The sequence below is a fragment of the Homo sapiens genome, chromosome 15 (genome assembly GCF_000001405.40).
Source record: "Homo sapiens chromosome 15, GRCh38.p14 Primary Assembly".
Taxonomy (NCBI): Eukaryota; Metazoa; Chordata; class Mammalia; order Primates; family Hominidae; genus Homo; species Homo sapiens.
In genome coordinates, this window is record NC_000015.10 from 90,273,486 (window position 1) to 90,293,104 (window position 19,619).

Genomic DNA, 19,619 nt, shown 5'->3' on the forward strand with positions numbered 1-19,619 from the left:
GCATTTCTCACTCCTGCAAATATCTGATCATGCCATACCCTTTTCGCAGTGGGCTATAGAAACCTAAAGGCTGTTCTTAAAACTTTGTTTTTTAATTTATTTTTGACACGGACTCTCGCTCTGTCGCCCAGGCTGGAGTACAGTGGCACAATCTCAGCTCACTGCAACCTCCGCCTCCCAGGTTCAACTGATTCTCCTGCTTCAACCTCCCGAGTAGCTGGGATTACAGGCGTCTGCCACTGTGCCCAGCTAATTTTTGTGTTTTTAGTAGAGATGGGGTTTCACCATGTTGGCCAGGCTGGTCTCAAACTCTGACCTCAAGTGATCTGCCTGTCTCGGCCTCCTACAGTGCTAGGATTACAGGTGTGAGCCACCACGCCTGGCCTTTATTTTTCTTTTGAGACAGGGTCTCACTCTTGTCGTCCACACTGGAGTACAGTGGCTCAATCTTGCCTCACTGCAACCTCTGCCTCCCAGGTTCAAGCGGTTCTCATTCTTCAGCCTCCCGAGTAGCTGGAACTACAGGCGGGCACCACCATGCCCAGCTAATTTTTTTTATATTTTTAGTAGAGACAGGATTTCACCATGTTGGCCAAGCTGGTCTCAAACTCCTGACCTCAAGTTATCTACCTGCCTTGGCCTCCCAAAGTGCTGGGATTATAGGCGTGAGCCAACACGCCTGACCTTTATTTCTTTTGAGACAGGGTCTTGCTCTGTCATCCATGCTGGAGTGCAGTGGCTCAATCTCAGCTCACTGCAATCTCTGCCTCCTGGGTTCAAACTATTCTCATTCCTTAGCCTCCCGAGTAGCTGGGACTACAGGCATGCACCACCACACCCAGCTAATCTTTTATTTTTAGTAGAGATAGGATTTCACTATCTTGGCCAGGCTGGTCTCGAACTCCTGTGCTCAGGTGATCTGCCTGCTTCGGCCTCCCAAAATGCTGAGATTACAACGTGAGCCACCACGTGAGGCAGGCGGATCACCTGAGGTCAGGAGTTTCAGACCAGCCTGGCCAACATGGCAAAACCCCATCTCTACTAAAAATACAAAAATTATCTGGGTGTGGTGGCAGATGCCTGTAATCCCAGCTACTGGGAAGGCTGAGGCAGGAGAATTGCTTGAACCCGGGAGGCAGAGGTTGCAGTGAGCCGAGATTGTGCCACTGCACTTCACCTTGGGTGACAGTGAGACTCCATCTCAAACAAACAAACACCTCCAATGCTGTATCTCAAATACCATGTCTACCCTTCTTCCTGCTTTACTTCATCTATTACACAAGTAATACATACTCATTAAAGAAAAAGACAAGCAAAATGAAAACAAAAGTCATCCCTGATCCCACCAGTGAAGAGTTACTATCCTACCAACATTTTTCTAAGCATATGTACAACTTTAAGACAAGCACGAAAGAATAATACTGTGCCAGGCGCGGTGGCTCACGCCTGTGGTCCCAACAGTTTGGGAGGCCGAGGCGGGTGGATCACTTGAGGCCAGGATTTCGAGATTAGCTTGGCCAACATGGTGAAACCCCGTCTCTACTAAAAATACGAGAATTAGCGACTCCCAGCCGCCGCCCGGGCCCGCGCGCTCCTCCGCCGCGCTCCGCTCGGCTCCTCTCGACCCCACACCGCCGGTCGACATGATCCGCTGCGGCCTGGCCTGCGAGCGCTGCCGCTGGATCCTGACCCTGCTCCTACTCAGCGCCATCGCCTTCGACATCATCGCGCTGGCCGGCCGCGGCTGGCTGCAGTCGAGCGACCGCGTCCAGACGTCCTCGCTGTGGTGGAGATGTTTCCTTCCACAGGGGCGGCGGCGGCGGCAGCGGGTCCTAAGAGGACGGCTGCCACAGCCTCATGGAGTACGCGTGGGGTCGAGCAGCGCTGCCATGCTTTTCTGGGGCGTCAGCATCCTGGTGATCTGTTTCATCCTCTCCTTCTTCGTCCTGTGTGTACCCCAGATACTTGTCTTCCTAAGAGTGATTGGAGGTCTCCTTGCCTTGGCTGCTGTGTTCCAGATCATCTCCCTGGTAATTTACCCCGTGAAGTACACTCAACCTTCAACCTTCATGCCAAGCCCCGCTGTCACTTCCATCTATAACTGGGCCTGCGGCTTTGGGTGGGCAGCCATGATTATCCTCATTGGCTGTGCTTTCTTCTGCTGCTGCCTCCCCAGCTGCGAAGATGACCTCCTGGGCAATACCAAGCCCAGGTACTTCTACACATCCGCCTAACTTGGGAATGAGTGTGGGAGAAAATCGCCACTGCCAAGATGGACTCCAGAAGAAGAAACTGTTTCTCTAGGCTACTTCGAACTTATTTTTTGGCAGTGTTCATATTCTCAAACTAGTCAAAAATGCTAAAATAATTTGGGAGAAAATATTTTTAAAGTAGTGTTATAGTTTCATGTTCATCTTTTATTATGTTTTGTGAAGTTGTGTCTTTTCACTAATTACCTATACTATGCCAATATTTCCTTATATCTACCCATAACATTTATGCTATGTTTGTAAGAGAATATGAACATGAAACTTAACACTTTATAAGGTAAAAATGAGATGGTTTCCAAGATTTAATAATTGGATCAAGTTCTTGTTATTTCCAAATAGAATGGACTTGGTCTGTTAAGGGCTAAGGAGAAGAGGAAGGTAATGGTAAAAATTGTCAATGACTGGCCGGGTGTGGTGGCTCACGCTTGTAATCTCAGCACTTTGGGAGGCCGAGGCAGGCCAATCACCTGAGGTCACAAGTTCAAGACCAGCCTGGCAAACATGGTGAAACGCCGTCTCTACTGAAAATACAAAAATTAGCCAGGCTTGGTGGCACATGCCTGTAGTCCCAGCTACTGGGGAGGCTGAGGCAGGAGAATCGCTTGAACCAGAGAGGTGGAGGTTGCAGTGAACCGAGATTGTGCCATTGCACTACAGCCTGGTCAACAGAGCAAGACTCTGTCTCAAAACAAACAAAAATTGTCAATGACCAAACATTCTAAAAGAAATGCCAAAAAAAAAGCTTTTTTTTTCAAGCCTTCAAACTATTTAAGGAAGCAAAATAGTTTCCTAAATGCATATTGTTTGTGAGAATTTCTCATTAATATCCTGAATAATTCTTTTTTTTTTTTTGAGACGGAGTCTCACTCTGTCTCCCAGGCTGGAGTGTGATGGCGTGATCTCGGCTCACTGCAAGCTCTGCCTCTCGGGTTCACGCTATCCTCCCGCCTCAGCCTCCCGAGTAGCTGGGACTACAGGCGTCCACCACCACGCCCGGCTAATTTTTTGTATTTTTAGTAGAGACAGGGTTTTACCGTGTTAGCCATGATGGTCTCGATCTCCTGACCTCGTGATCTGCCCACCTCAGCCTCCCAAAGTGCCGGGATTACAGGCGTGAGCCACCGCGCCCAGCCCTGAATAATTCATTCTTGCTAAGCTTCATGTTGACTCTATATATCATCTAAGAAAGTATTGTTTTGTGGTCCAAACCTGTTGCCGTGGTTAGTAAGGCTTTCTTAGGTGTGAAATATTTAGATGAAATTTTCTCTTTTAAAGTTCTGTATAGGGTTAGGGTGTTGGAAAATGCTATATTAATAAATCTGTAGTGTTTTGTGTTTATAGGTTCAGAACCAGAGTAACTGGATTGAAAGATGGACTGATAGATTAGATATATCAGTCTAATTTATCATGACTGATAGATCTGGTTAAGTTGTGTACTAAAGGATTAGGAGAGCCCTTCCTGTCACAAAAGTGCCACTAAAACAGCCTAAGGAGAAAAATGGCTTGCTTTTCTAAACTTCAGATGTATCTGGGCTCTAATCATATAGACAGGCTTCTGATAGATTGCAACTGTAAGTAGAAACCTACATATAGTTAAAATCCTGGTCTTTCTTGGTAAACAGATTTAAAATGTCTGATGTAAAACATGCCACAGGAGAATTCAGGGATTTGAGTTTCCCTGAATAGCATATATATGATGCATCAAATGGGTTATTACTATTTTTTACCATTTCCACTTACATAATGAAAAACAATTCATTTTAAATATCACATTATTATTTTGTAAGTCATGGAAAAGGGCAATTGAAGTTTTCATTATGAAGTTTTCCCAATAAACCAGGAATTCTAAACTTGAAAAAAAAAAATAGAATTAGCCAGGTATGGTTGCACAGGCCTGTAATCCCAGCTACCCGGGAGGCTGAGGCAGGAGAATCACCTGAACCTGAGAGGCAGAGGCTTCAGTGAGCCGAGGCCACACCACTGCACTCCGGCCTTGGTGACAGAGACTCTGCCTCGAAAGATAAAAATAATAATGAAAGTAATATTGGGATTATACTGTACATTCTTTCTTACATGTATGGTGAATATATTTTGACAATAAATATCTTTACATCAGTTAAAATAACCACCTCATATTTTGTTTTATGGAATATAATATTATTTTGTTGTATGAAGTCAAATATTAGATTGAACCATATATCTGACCATTTTTTACCTATAAAAATAGCAGTTACCTGTAGTCCCAGCTACTTAGGAGGCTGAGGCAGGAGAATCCCTTGAGCACAGGAGTTCAAGGCTACAGTGAGCTATATAATTATTCTTTTGTTGTGGGACATTTTGGTCATTTCTAAATTTTCACCACTGTTGTGATAAACCTCTTTTAGCGAATCTTTTTTGTCTTTTTTATTGACATATAACTTTATCATTTCCTTAGAATTCCCAGAATTAGAATTGGTGAGTCAAAGAATAGATACTCTTTTTTTTTTTTTTTTTTTTGAGACAGAGTCTCGCTCTGTCACCCAGGCTGGAGGGCAGTGGCATGATCTTGGCTCACTGCAACCTCCGCCTCCTGGGTTCAAGTGATTATCCTGCCTCAGCCTCCCAAGTAGCTGAGATTAAAGGCACCTGCCACCACGCCCAGCTAATTTTTTGTATTTTTAGTAGAGATGGGGCTTCACCATGTTGGCCAGGCTGGTCTTGGACTCCTCACCTCAAGTGATCTGCCCACCTTGGCCTCCCAAAGTGCCGGGATGACAGGCGTGAGCCACTGTACCCTGCCAGGAGGTGACATTTGAACAGAGCCTTGAAGATGCTGTGTAGAAAGTCTGACAGGTGGCCAGGTGTAGTGGCTCACGCCTGTCATCCCAGCACTTTGGGAGGCCAAGGTGAGAGGATCACTTGAGGCTAGAAGTTTGAGGCCAGCCTGGGCAGCATAGTGAGACCCCGTCTCCTAAAAAAAAAAAAAAATTAGGCCGGGCGCGGTGCCTCACGCCTGTAATCCCAGCATTTTGGGAGGCTGAGGCGGGCAGATCACGAGGTCAGATCGAGACCATCCTGGCTAACATGGTGAAACCCTGTCTGTACTAAAAATACAAAAAATTAGCCGGGCATGGTGGTGGGCGCCTGTGGTCCCAGTTACTCGGGAGGCTAAGGCAGGGGAATGGCGTGAACCCAGGAGGCGGAGCTTGCAGTGAGCGGAGATCGCGCCACTGCACTCCAGCCTAGGTGACAGAGCGAGACTCCGTCTTAAAAAAAAAAAAAAAAAAAAAAATTAGCCCAGCATGGTGGCCCTTGCCTGTGGCCCCAGCTGCTCGGGAGGCTGAGGTGGGAGGATCACTTGAGGCCAGGGGTTTGAGGCTGCAATGAGCCACGACTGTGCCACTGCACTCCAGCCGGAGTGACAGAGCAAGACCCTGCCTCAAAAGAAAAAAAAAGTTTGATAGGGCATGTGGAACAAGAGACAGGACCTGAGGGAAGAGCATGAATGAAGGTATTGAAGAGTAGAGGGACACTGTGTGTTGGGAACTGAGTGGTGTGGACTGCACAGTGGTGGGAGGAAGGGAAGAGGAGAGTTTCCAAAAAATAGTTGGGACCAGACTGGGAAAGGCCTTGAATGCCTTCCCAAGGAGTTAGGAATTTATTCCACACCTGGTGCCCATGAAGGAAGCAGATTGCTTCAAGGTTAAGCTCAGGCTTTGGAGACAGACTCTCCAGGTTTGGATTCAGGCCCTGTCACTTATTTGCCATGGGGCTGAGTTCACCCAGCCTCAGTTTCTTCATCTGTAAAATAGGAGTGATAATCACAGGATTGTTGTGGGGTTTCAATGAGAGAATGCGTGTAAAATGTTTCGTACAATTACTGCCACTTATTTCTCAATAATTGCTGGCTTTGGTCATTAATAAAAGAGGGAAACAACATTATCAGATCTGTATTTAGAAGGAGTCTGGCAGATAGGGACAGATTTGGGCCAAAATCTCAAGCCAGTATTTTTCAAGGGTACACTAAACCTTGGTACATATCTAATTATAATACATTTTTTAAAAGGGTTAAATGAGTACAATTGAAACGGCAGAGTTCTTTTTTTTTGTTTGTTTGTTTTGAGACAGAGTCTAACTCTGTTGCCTAGGCTGGAGTACAACGGCACGGTCCTGGCTCACTGAAACCTCCGCCTCCCAAGTTCAAGCAATTATTCTGCCTCAACCTCCCAAGTAGCTAGGACTACAGGCACGTGCCACCACACCTGGCTAATCTTTGTATTTTTAGTAGAGATGGGGTTTCACCATGTTGGCCAGGCTGGTTTCGAACTCCTGACCTCGTGATCCACCCACCTTGGCCTCCCAAAGTGCTGGGATTACAGGCATGAGCCACCATGCCCAGCCAGTTGTTTTTTTAGGAAAGTCATTGTAGTACACATGGCTAGCCACACATGGCAGGCGTGCTGGCACCCAGAGAAAGAGAAAGCCAAAGCTGTCCATCTTGCAGACCGACAGGAGGGAGCCAGGACACAGCTGGGCTTGCTCGTGCCCAGAGAGAAAGAGTTAAGCTGCTTAACCTGAAGGCAAGGGAGAGTCGGCTGCACAGCTGTGTTGGGGGGCAGCTGGCTCAAGCAGCTGAGACAGGGCTAATAGTGTTAAGAGTAAGCTGCTAATAAGAGAGCTAGTGTAAGAAAGCTGTTAATGAGAGCTGCTGCTGAATAAAACTATCTTTCACCTGCCTACAGCCCCCCCACCCGGAATATTCTTTCTGCTTACCCACCCACTCCCCTCAGACTTCAGCATGGGCAGGACCTGGACCCTGGGATCTGACACACATCTCTACTAAAAATACAAAAATTAGCCAGTATGGTGGCACATGCCTGTAATTCCAGCTACCAGGGTGGCTGAGGCATGATGATCACCTGAACCCAGGAGTCAGAGGTTGCAGTGAGCTAAGACTGTGTCACTGCACTCTAGCCTGGGCAACAGAGCCTGACCCTGTGTCAAGACAAAAAAAACTTAAAGACCATTTGTCCAGTATAAACTCTTTCAAAATATATACTCAAGCATAGAAAAAAAGTCTAGAAATGTCATCAATGGTAATTTCAGGAAAGAATTTTAAGGTGACGTTTTTTGGTTATCTGCATTTTTTTTTCTTTTATTTTTTTGAGATAGGGTCTTGCTGTGTCACCCAGGCTGGAGTGCAGTGATGCGATCAGGGCTCACTGCAGCCTTGACCTCCCAGGCTTAAGCCATCCTCCCACCTCAGTCTCCTGAGTAGCTGGGACTACAGGCGCAAGCCACCACACCTGGCTAATTTTTGCATTCTTGTATTTTTTGCAAAGATGGGGTTTTGCCATGTTGCCCAAGCTGGTCTCAAGCGATCCGCCCACCTTGGCCTCCCAGAGTGCTGGGATTACAAGTGTGACCTATGTGTGCCAGGCCTACGTTTTCTTTTCTGTAATGACCATGACCATGGATTTCATGTACCAACATTTTTCTAGCAATAATATTTACAAAGCATACTATGAAAAATGTTCAGAGAAAAAGAAGAATACACAACTGTAAAAATCATATATAACTAGTTTTCTTTTTGTTTGTTTTTAAAGCCAAAAAAGAAACAAAGTATAGATTGTCCAGGAAGATAGTTACTTCCACTTTGTGTTTCTCTGGTGAACTCATTAGGAACTCTAAAAAGTTCCAGGAGGGCTGGGCATGGTGGCTCATGCCTGTAATCCCAGCACTTTGGGAGGCCGAGGTGGGCAGATCACGAGGTCAGGAGATTGAGACCATCCTGGCTAACACGGTGAAACCCTGTCTCTACTAAAAATACAAAAAATTACCCAGGCATGGTGGCAGGCGCCTGTAATCCCAGGTACTCAGGAGGCTGAGGCAGGAGAATCGCTTGAACCCGGGAGGCAGAGGTTGCAGTGAGCCAAAATCGTGCCACTGCATTCCAGCCTGGGCGAGAGTGAGACTCTGCCTCAAAAAAAAAAAAAAAAAAAAATGCAGAAGTAGAATCATGGGGTCAAAGTACCCTTGCTTTAACTTCTGGTTCAGATAATTTTAACAACTTACATTGTCACCAGCAAGGTCTTTGACTATATGAGCAAGTCTCACGTTAAAGCATTTCTCATTTGACATTAGCTGCCCAGCTTTCCGCTGATACGTTGACTCCAGGAGGCTCCTTGAGTTCTGAGTGTTTGGCTGGCCTCTGGTGGCCCCATTATTATTTTCTGCCAGGTGAAGGTCAGTCACCTGCACACAGATCTCATCACTCATGATATGCTGCAGCTGGAATCAAAGGCAAGCTGTTAGTGAACACAAAACATTTCTCCATTACACAGTCAACGTTCCTTTGACTCAACTCAAAAAAGGTTTTGTTTTTTTTTTGGCTGGCAATTTTAGAAAATTCATCACACAAACCACTGTATCATTTTCTCGGACAATAATCAATCCAAGATTTTCAACCATATCTGTGGTCCATTGTAAAACTTTCATCTCTATTTAAAATAAAAATCATAGAGAACTCAGGTTAATGTGCTGTTTAAAATTCTAAGGATCTTTAAATAATTTTCCATGGGTCATATTTTTATTGCATTTTAAAATCATTTACAATTTGCTTTCATCCATATTCTCTCTCATTTGATCCTCACAACTGCCCTGGGAAGCAGGTTGGAGAGAGAGTTGGGCCTGTTAGGAGAGAAATTTACACAGTGCATAAGAAAGCTCACTGTGAGCTGGGGTGAGGAGGGGAGACTTGGAGAATCGTGAAGCAATATCTATGTCAAGATTCCCAGCCCAACAGCAAAGCCTGAAACTCATTAGGTATTTAAGAAATAGCTGCTGAGTTATTGCCTAGAGGTGCTCAGCTGAAGAAGGAGGGTTGGGACTAACAGTCAAGCTTCCTAACTCCTACCCCAATACTTTTCCAAACACACCACCTATTTTTCCATATCTGATAGAAAGTAAAGTGCTTAAGTTGTACATAATATTAACTCACTTTCCCTACAGGCCAATCATGATTGACTATCAGTAGCTTTTGTGGCAATCTTAGGAAACTAATGACTAGAAAGCTGAACCTTTCAGAGTTCCCATTCTCATGGCATATGCTATTTCTATTTTGAAATAAAAATCCTTCCAAATGAAACTTTACCCATCAAAATCACAGAGAAGTGAAAAATAGATACAAGAAGAAAGCAGAACGTTAACTTAAATATCGATTTGTCTGTTTCGCTTTAAAATTGTCATAACCACCAAGCCATTCTATTTTTAGGAAGCTACATTCTTTTTGAAGTGTTAGGAACTATGATAACTATTTCTTCTTAATTATAAGTCCTAAATGACCAGTATGTGTATTAGTAGATAACTGGACACAGAGCAAGGTCAGAAGGGTGACTGAGTGTGGCAGAAAGGGCAGTATCCCCAGCAACTACAGATGGATAAATGACAATGAGTCCAGATAATGGATTCTGATACAACCATTCAGATAATGCTTATGAGTACTTGATAACAGGGAAAAGCTTAAGATACAGTGTTTTAGAGAGAAAAAAGGCAAGTTGGAAAAAAATGTATGGAAAGCATGACTTCAGTCATGCATAGAGATGCTTGCTTCTACTTTAAACTTTTTTTTTTTTTTTTTTTTTGAGACAGGGTCTTGCTCTGTCGCCCAGGCTGGAGTGCAGTGGCATGGTGATCTCGACTGACTGCAGCCTCAACTTCTTGGGCTCAAGCAAGCCTCTCACCTCAACCTCCTAAGTAGCTGGGACTACAGGCATGTGCCACCATGCCCCGCTAATTTTTTGTATTCTTAGTAGAGATGGGGTTTTGCCATGTTGCCCAGTCTGGTCTCAAATTCCTGAGTTTAAGTAATCCGGCTGCCTCGGCCTCCTAAAGTGCTGGGATTACAGGCGTGAGCCACCGCCTCTACTTTATACTTTCTTGTTGAAGTAGACTGTACTACTGATTCCCTACCCACACCCTCTTTTTGGATATCCAGCTCCTCCTCGAGTCTCTGGAAAGGGCAGCACTACAAATCCAGGGACAACTAGGGAACTCCCACCCCCACTGCTAGGCAGATCAGAATCTTTATCCTGCTAATTGGAAATGACACAGAGAGTGTTCGATAGATTTTTTGCAGAGGAGCATCTGTATGGAAAGGTCCAGTAACACTGGGACCAGGGGTACTGCCAGGGCAAGCCAAAGTCTCAGCGGCTGGAGGAGCCTGGAGCACGTGCCGAACGTCCATCTGCAAAGCAAAGCACAAGCATGGAGCAGAAGTCCAGAGTGAAGGCATGCAGGAGAGGAAAATCACCTCCCAGCACAGTCCTTCCATGGTGTGGTCATATATTGAGTTCTGTACTTAGATGTCTGTGAGATTGCCTATTGTATTCTTAATACAGATCCCTCTTAAGCCAGCCTAGAATAGGTTAAGATAAATGTAATGACTTGACTTGGCTGGAGTGCAGCGGCATGATCATGGCTCACGGCAGCCTCAACTTCTGGGCTCAGGTGATCCTCCCACTTCAGCCTCCTGAGTAGCTGGGACTATGGGCATGAGCCACCATGCCTAGCTAATTTTTTGTATTTTTTCTCATAAAAATATTATGTTTTTCAGAAGAAATATTATACATAATACATTGAAAATCACTAATTGCTTTTTCTTCATCTTTTTTTCTGTGAATGTGTAGGTGTTTGAGTCTCTTGTATTTCTTCTTTTACACAGGATATGGGCTGTTTGAAAACTATTTTGTTATCTTCATCATCATTGTTCATTTCAGCCACTTCAGATTTTCGTCTCTCCAAAAATGTTGAGGTACAAACCGGTGTGGGGCCCTGGCTATCCACAGTCTTCTCAGGAGTGTCAGGAGTGCCTAAAACCTTTCGCTGCTTCTTATGTAAAACCTGGCCTTTTGTTTTTTGTTTGTTTGTTTGTTTGTTTGTTTTCAGATAGACTTTCGCTCTTGTTGCCCAGGCTGGAGTGCAATGGCACGATCTCGGCTCACTGCAACCTCTGCCTCCCAGGTTCGATCAATTCTCCTGCCTCAGCCTCCCGAGTAGCTGGGATTAAAGGTGCCCAACACCATGCCTGGCTAATTTTTGTATTTTTTAGTAGAAACAGGGTTTCACCATGTTGGCCAGGCTGGTCTCGAACTCCTGACCTCAGGTGATCCGCCCGCATCGGCCTCCCAAAGTGCTGGGATTGCAGGCGTGAGCCACCGTGCCCGGCAAACCTGGCCCTTTGTAGACGTCTGATGATTCGTTTTTGAAATACTTTCTGTTTTCTGTAAAATCAAAGAAGGAAAATCATAATCAATTCCTTTTTAAGCTAATTTCTTCTTGAGTAATCTTTCTTTTTAAATCGCCCCTCCACCCACAGCTTTTGTGTAAGTGCCGATTCTGATTATACCGTTTCACTGATGGATATGATGCCTGCTTAAACGGAATATCCCAGTCTTTAAAGAGTTCTTTCTGTACTTTTTCAGGTGTCATAAAATGACACTCCCAGAGTCTTTCGCCAAACAGGTAGTTGTTCATTGTTTCAGCAACTATCTTGGCAACATCCTCAGACTCATACTCCACACATGCATAGCCTTTGCTATTTCCAGTCCTTTTCTGTCTGGATAGTCTGAAGCTTGTAACAGTGCCACACTGGGAGGAATATGAAAGAATCTGGGTTTCGTTCAGTAGGTTATGTAGGTGGCACACGTAGACCACTCCAGGAGTAAGTTGTTCTTGTTTTTCTCGCTGGGTTATGCGCAGAACCTGTGCCACCTCCTTCTGAAACCCACATCTTTCTGTGGGTTCAGCGACAGGATTGGCCCAGCCGGGCCGGAAAAGGCCGCCATGCCAAAAGCGGCTGACACCAACTCCACGGGGCGCTCCCGGAAACGCCCAATTTTTTGTATTTTTAATACAAACAGGGTTTCGCCATGTTGCCCAGGCAGGTCTAGAACTCCTGGACTCGAGCGATCTGCCTGCCCTGACTCCCAAATTGCTGTGATTATAGGCGTGAGCCACCGCACTCAGCCTTGACTTTGAAATATATGTTGTGGGACTGGCGCGGTGGCTCACGCCTGTAATCCCAGCACTGTGGGAGGCCAAGGCGGGCGGATCACGAGGTCAGGAGATCGAGACCATCCTGGCTAACACGGTGAAACCCTGTCTTTACTAAAAAATACAAAAAATTAGCCGGGCGTGGTGGCGGGCGCCTGTAGTCCCAGCTACTCGGGAGGCTGAGGCAGGAGAATGGCGTGAACCCGGAAGGCGGAGCTTGCAGTGAGCCGCGATCGCGCCATTGCACTCCAGCCTGGGCAACAGAGCGAGACTCTGTCTCAAAAAAAAAAAAAAAAAAAAAAGAAAGAAATATGTGTTGTACATCCAGTCAGCAGTGAACTCTGGGGGAACACTAAAGATGAGGACAATGAGAGAAGAGATACCTCCAATTAAAGGAGTTAAGAAGAGATGCTTGAACTTATGTTTTAAAAAGTCACTGCAGGCTGGGCACAGTGGCTTATGCCTGTAGTCACATCACTTTGGGAGGCCGAAGTGGGCGAACCGCTTGAGCCTAGAAGTTTGAGACCAGCCTGGGCAACATGGAAAAGCCCCATCTGTACAAAAAATATAATAAATTGGCAGGGCACAGTGGTGCCTGTGGATGCAGCTGCTGGGGAGGCTGAGGTGGGAGGTTGAGGCTGCAGTGAGCTGAGATCCACCACTCCACTCCAGCTTGGGCAACAGAGTAAGACCATGTTTGGAAAAAAAAAAAAAAAAAAGTCACTGGGGTTTTCTGGATAAAACGTCTGTTTCCATAAGAAAAAAAAAAAAAAAAAGAAAAGAAAAAAAGGGCGGAGACAGCATGTATTATTGTTTCAAAATCATAACCAGATGCTTAGAGTAAATAATTATATCTATTGTTTCAAAAACCAATCTAAGGATTATTAAAAGTTAGTTTTATTGGATTTTTTTTTAAGCTGCACTGATTCCCTCAGGTCTGTCACTTCCAAGTCCATGTTTTACTACTTTGTAACCCTATTTGGAAGGAAAACTGCAACTAAGACTATGATCTATCCTGAGATGAAAAGTTTCACACATATACAGCACACACACCCCCCACCACAGTATGATGACACAGTGCCACCCTTAGGCAAAAGGGTACCACTGACAGCAAATGCATTTTTTTCTTTATTTCATCTAATTTTTTTTTCTTTATTTCTTCTAAAAGCAGCAAATGCATTTAACATTTTATTGAGATTCTCAACAGCTGCCATTTGGTTTATATAGCAAATTGTTTCTAAAGTAACTTTTTTTCTATTTTTGATATTTTTATGAAAATTATGTTCTTCAGTTTTAAAGCCCTGTCCCTCTCCCAAAGAAAGATTAATAACTACCTACTAAGTAATGAGTATTCGGGAAAATAACAAAAGCAAAAACAGCTTTTAAACACTTGTGAAACAAGGGTAAGGGTCCAAAGTCAAGACCTTCTGGGCCCATTGGAGGTGCTAGGCTTGCCTGGTGACACTATCAGCACTTCCCCATCCACAACATCCTCAACAGCTGGGAGCCCTGTGCGGACCCCGGTGTCGGGGGGCGGGGAGGGGGGCTTCCTGTTCCACAGGCTCCACTCTCTTTTTCCTCTCCACCACTGCTGTTGGGCCTCCCCTCCAAATCTGCCTAACAAAGGCAGCAGGATCTTTAATACTGTTCAGCTTTGTAAATGAAGACAGGATACTCTAGAAAGTTGGGAGATTCCCTGGTCCAGTCTGGGAGAGGAAAAAATATGCAATGTAGCATGGATGGTTTCACTTTCTTGTCCACTCAGCCACATGCTCATACTTATTAAATTAATGTATCAGATGCTTCCAAAGTCCTGACATGTAGCACAAAAGTTGCTTGTAAAAAATAAGTTGCAGGCCGGGCGCAGTGTCTCATGCCTGTAATCCCAGCACTTTGGGAGGCCAAGGTGGGTGGATCACATGAGGTCGGGAGTTTGAGACCAGCCTGGCCAACCTGGAGAAACCCTGTATCTACTTAAAAAATACAAAATTAGCCAGGCATGGTGGCACATGCCTGTAATCCCAGCTACTCGGGAGGCTGAGGCAGGAGAATCACTTGAACCTGGGAGGCAGAGGTTGCAGTGAGCCGAGATAGCGCCATTGCACTCCAGCCTGGGCAAAAATAGCGAAACTCCGTATCAAAAAAAAAAAAAAAAAGTTAAGTTGCAAAATGATGAAAATTCAGGCTCCTGATGACAAAGCTAGTTCTGATAAGTAGTTACTTTGACATATACGGCAGCTTCGCCTGTAAGTCCTGTGTTCTGAGGGTTTCATTTAGGCCACAGGAAGTTGGAATCCAAGTTTCAAAGGCTCTCTGCTGACAAAATGTGCTATTTCCATCAATGGTCTTCTACTCAGTAATGAAAGGAACAAACTACCAAAACATGTCGTGTCATGGATCAACCTCAAAAACATTAGCTAAGTAAAAAAGCCAGACACGAGACCACATATTGTATAATTCCGTTGATTTGAAATGTCCAGAAAAGACAAATTTATAGAGACAGAAATGGGCTGATTTACCTCAAGAGGCAGGGATTCCGGCTCTCTAGACTGCATGTGATACATACATGAGAAAAAATAGGGAAAATAAAAAAATTTAAATATAAATAAATGAAAATAATACTTCTCCCTGATCATAAAGAAAATCACATTCTTAGAGGCCGGGCATGGTGGCTCATGCCTGTAATCCCAGCACTTTGGAAGGTCGAAGTGGGTGGATCATGAGGTCAGGAGTTCGAGACCAGCCTGTCCATTATAGTGAAACCCCGTCTCTACTAAAAATACGAAAATTAGCCGGGCGTGGTGGTGCATGCCTATAATCCTAGCTACTCAGGAGGCTGAGGCAGGAGAATTGCTTGAATCCAGGAGGTGGAGGTTGCAGTGAGCTGAGATCGCGCCACTGCACCCCAGCCTGGGTGACAGACCGAGACTCTGTCTCAAAAAAAAAAAAAAAAAAAGAAAGTCACATTGTTTTGTAATAATTTGGAAGACAAAATATGAAGAAAAGTCTAATTTTGCCACTCAAAACATTCTGATTTGTTGCTTTTTATACTTTTTTATGCATATAAACATTTTTAAAAGTAGAATCATAACATATAGTCTTTTGTCACTATGTTTTGGGCAGTAAATTTCTATGGCAGTAAATATATCCTTGGCATCATCATTTTTAATAGTTGGATGTATATTAAGTTAATCATTGTCACCCTAGAAGTAAATTTTCTTATATATACATTTTAATGGACTCGAGCAAGCATTTTTGGACTGAATTTATAGAAGTAGAATTTCTGGAGGACAATAACATAAAACAGTTCTAGTGTTTTTAATAAAAATTTTCAAATTATACTGCAGGAAAATTGGTTCAGTTTATACTCCCACCAACAGAGACAGAGCTCCAGTTTCCCCCTTCCATTTGTCCTCTTTGCTAGTCTTTAAGCAGAAAATCTCATTGTTTTCATTACATTTCTTTAGCTTCTAGTGCTTTTGAATCTTTTTTACATGCTTATTGGCCATTTTTATTCCTGTGGGAAGTGTCTGTTTCTCCATTGTCTATTTTCTGGCCAAACTCCAAAGTCATATTTCACTTAATTTTTATCCTGCTGATTGAAAGCATTTTAACTTAGTGATTTTAATGTAAACAGGAACAGGACAGACTTTAATTGTCTAAGTCTTGCCCTGTCACCCAGGCTGGAGTACAGTGGCATGATCATAGCTACCGCAGCCTCGAACTCCTGGGCTCAAGCGATTTTCCTACATCAGCCTCCCAAGTAGATAGGACTACAGGTGTGTGCCACCACACCCAGCTAATTTTTAAAATTTTTTGTAGAGTTGTGAATTCGCTATGCTGCCCAGGCTGGTCTTGAACTCCTGACTTCAAGTAATCCTCCCACCTTGGCTTGCCAATGTGCTGGGATTACGGCATGAACTAGTGCTCCCAGCCAAGAGCTCACTTTTGTTTGCTAGTGGTGTTCTTGGTATCCTTTCATATTTGAGGCTTTGGTGCTAGTGCTGAAGTATTACACTCACCATCCGAGGTTTACAGGACTTTTGTTTTAATATTGAACAGATGGAACTGTTCAGTTCTGCATCTTTGCAGGTATACAAAATGTGCCTATCAGGAGTCTGCTTTATATTCATTGAAAGCAAGAAGTAATACAGTAAAATTTTGCCTGGCTGGAGGATTTGAAAGAATGGCATATTCTGGTTTAATTCTATTAACTTGGAAGTATGACAGTGAAAAAAAATCAAAACTTAAATTTCCTGTTGAATGCAATTTGAAAATATAGCCAATGATTCCACTTTTCTTCTCTAGTAAGGTTGGACATTCTGATCTACTTGGTGTTTTATTATAGAACTCCTAGTGTGCCTGAGAGTTACATTGTAAAGATACTTTTTTAAAACTTGAGATATAAGAGGATGTAAATGGTTTTGTATGAGATCAGGCTGGATGAGAACTGACACTTGTAAATATACATTTTAGACTAAATCTCTGATTGCCACTTATTTTCTTATTGAACTCATAAAAATAAAACACATTGGATGGAGGGTGGGAGTAGAAAGGAGATTCATGTGTCTTAATTGCATGTCATTGTTTCATATCAAGACAGAACATATAGTATCCCTGGCTTTGGACCTAGAGAAGGAAACACATTTTTCTACCTGCTGTATGCCAGAGGTTCTTGAACACCCTGAGGGATGACTGCAGCACAGATTGCTGAGCCCTAAGCCAGAGTTTCTGATGCACCAGGTCCAGGGTGGGGCCTGATAATTTGCACTTATAAAAAGTTCTCAGGTGCTGCTGGTGCTGCTAGTCCAGAGACTACATTACTGAGAACCACTCTTGTCTATTAACTGTAAATTGTAGAACTCTAGAAAAAAGCTTAGTTTGGTCTGGGATAAGAAGCACACAGGTTATGGAGAAAATCATGAAACATTCAACCCTTGATCCCAGCCTAGTGTGGAATTCAGGTAACAAGCAGTACACAGTGACATAACACAATTCTTGGTTTTCATGATTGCAAGTCATAGCTAAGCATCAAGTGAGAAATTCAGTTTCATTTGCAAGGCTTAGAGAAGCCAGGTGATTCTAGAAAAATGGGCCTTGTATTTGTTTTAAACCAGTAAAGAGCTTTAAGTGCTTATTAAATTGAAAGCTTTCTATTCTTATTTTGTATTTTATTTTATTTCTTTTGAGATGGAGTCTTGCTCTGTCACCCAGGCTGGAATGCAGTGGCGTGAGCTTGGCTCACTGCAACCTCCGTCTCCTGGGTTCAAGTGATTCTCCCGCCTCAGCCTCCCAAATGGCTGGGATTACAGGCACCCACCACCATGCCTGGCTAGCTTTTGTATTTTTAGTAGAGACGGGGTTTCTTCATGTTGGCCAGGCTGTTCTCGAACTCCTGACCTCAGGTGATCCACCTGCCTTGGCCTCCCGAAGTGCTGGGATTACAGGCGTAAGCCACCGCACCCAGCCCAAAAGCTTTGTGTTTTTCAAGATATTTGACATGTTTCTTGTTTTAAAAAAAAAATCTTAATAATGTAGGAGAATAAAAGAAACGTTTTTCCAAAAAAAGAGAAATCATTGTGATTATTTTATCTTATTGGAATGTTGGATACTATAGCCTGCTTCATTAATCATCAAGCATGCTATGGATTTTCCATTTTTATAGGATCTGTATCTCAGTTAAGGTAATACTGGTAATTATTGTACTCCATTTGAAGATGAAAAATATAGGCCAAAATTATAGACCTTGCATAGAAGCTGGATAATGGAGACAGCTCTGGAGGAACACGTAGATACACACACACAGACACACATATATATAAAGAATACACACATACATTTTTTAAAGTTTATTTTTTACAGTTTTAAAGGTTTTAAAGCAAAAGCCGGCCCCTCCCCTCTGAGTGGGCGGCCCCTCCCTCTCTCTGAGTGGTCGGGTACAGCGGTTGCATGGGCAGCTTTCCTTGTGAACCACAGGTCCTTCTGGACACGGTGCTACCTGGCCACGCCTCCTTTCCCTTTCATATTTCTCATTGACCAATGGGCTTGGAGCATTAAGGCCACGCCCCTATTCTGCATTCTAGTGGGGCCCCGGTTATGCCTCTTCTGGCTCAGTTGCACAGCTGCCTGGTAGGTGACTGGAGGCATTCATCAGTGCTCACTGGGATTTCACTGATGTGGCCCAACCCCGCCTCCCTCCACACCCCATGATGTCAGAAAAAACACGACAGGGCAAATGGGCCGCAGCCAGGAAAAAGGTAAAACGCACCAGGTCATGGCCCCCAACCCAGCCACAGATCCCCTCCGACAACAAGACCGTTGCCGGAGTCCATACCACCCCTGAGGCACACTGGACTGGGCCCCCCAACCCCAGCCCTCCTCCCTAGCCCGCCAGGCCTTTGTTTCCCCACCTGTAAAATGGGGCAGTGTAGCCCTCACATGAAATGGTACTTCTAAGGCACCTGTGAGCCGGAGCCCTGCTCTGATGGCTGTGGGAGAGAGGGGATGATTTTTCTAACCTCCCTCCACCCTTCCCAGTGCTATGGGAGGCAGACACCAAGTTCTGGGGTCTCCAGTTGCAGCGGGTGGCTGCTGATTGCTTCTCTCTGTCCAGAACGAGAACAAGAGCGCACTGCAGTTGGAGCAGCAAGTAAAGGAGCTGCAGGAGAAGCTGGGCTAGCTGAAGGGGACGGTAACCTCCGACCCGTCCAAGAAGGTCTGGGAGGCGGGCACCAGCCTCTGGGGAGGGGAGGTGCCAGGCCAGAGGCAGCTGCAGCCTGGGGGCAGGTGACCCCAGCACCCTCCAGGGCAGTCCTATGACTGTTTCTTGCTTCCTGCCCTCTGACTTTTAGAGGTGGGTAGCCCTGGCTCCTCCCAGGTCTGGACATCATCATCCCAGCTAGAGGCATGGAGCCCTCCAATCACAGAGGAAGAGACAGTGGCATAAGAGGCTCCTTATACCAGGTGCAGTGGCTCACACTTGTAATCCCAGCATTTTGGGAGGCTGAGGCAGGAGAATCACTTGAGATCAGGAGTTTGAGACCAGCCTGGCCAAAATGGCAAAACCTTATCTCTACAAAATTACAAAAAAAAAAAAAAAAAAAAATTAGCCGGGCATGGTGGTGCATGCCTGTAATCCCAGCTACTCAGGAGGCTGAGACATGAGAATCACTTGAGCCCAGGAGGTGGAGGTTGCAGTGAGCTGAGATCGCACCACTGCACTCCAGCCTGGGACACAGAGTGACACTGTCCCAAAACAAAATATGAAAAAAACCAAAACGACTCCTTAGATTCAAACTGGATTCCGGCCTCGGTTCC

General features: G+C 44.6%; 2 pseudogenes across 1 annotated transcript, besides 2 other annotated features; one reads left to right on the forward strand and one right to left on the reverse strand.

Annotated features, from left to right (window-relative positions):
- The first annotated feature begins 1,142 nt into the window (after window positions 1-1,142).
- Window positions 1,143-4,392, forward strand: PERPP2 (PERP pseudogene 2; annotated as a pseudogene). Its single transcript, XR_007064755.1, has one exon. The product of XR_007064755.1 is annotated as a PERP pseudogene 2 (transcript).
- Window positions 1,730-2,283: an enhancer, noted in NCBI's record as "H3K27ac-H3K4me1 hESC enhancer chr15:90818447-90819000 (GRCh37/hg19 assembly coordinates)". NCBI's record gives its function as "activates a minimal SCP1, AML or CMV promoter by ChIP-STARR-seq in naive H9 embryonic stem cells {active_cell/tissue: H9 hESC(naive)}" and the evidence as "EXISTENCE:reporter gene assay evidence [ECO:0000049][PMID:30033119]".
- On the reverse strand, window positions 10,838-12,116 carry NIFKP5 (NIFK pseudogene 5; annotated as a pseudogene).
- Window positions 13,679-14,243: an enhancer, noted in NCBI's record as "NANOG-H3K27ac hESC enhancer chr15:90830396-90830960 (GRCh37/hg19 assembly coordinates)". NCBI's record gives its function as "activates a minimal SCP1, AML or CMV promoter by ChIP-STARR-seq in naive H9 embryonic stem cells {active_cell/tissue: H9 hESC(naive)}" and the evidence as "EXISTENCE:reporter gene assay evidence [ECO:0000049][PMID:30033119]".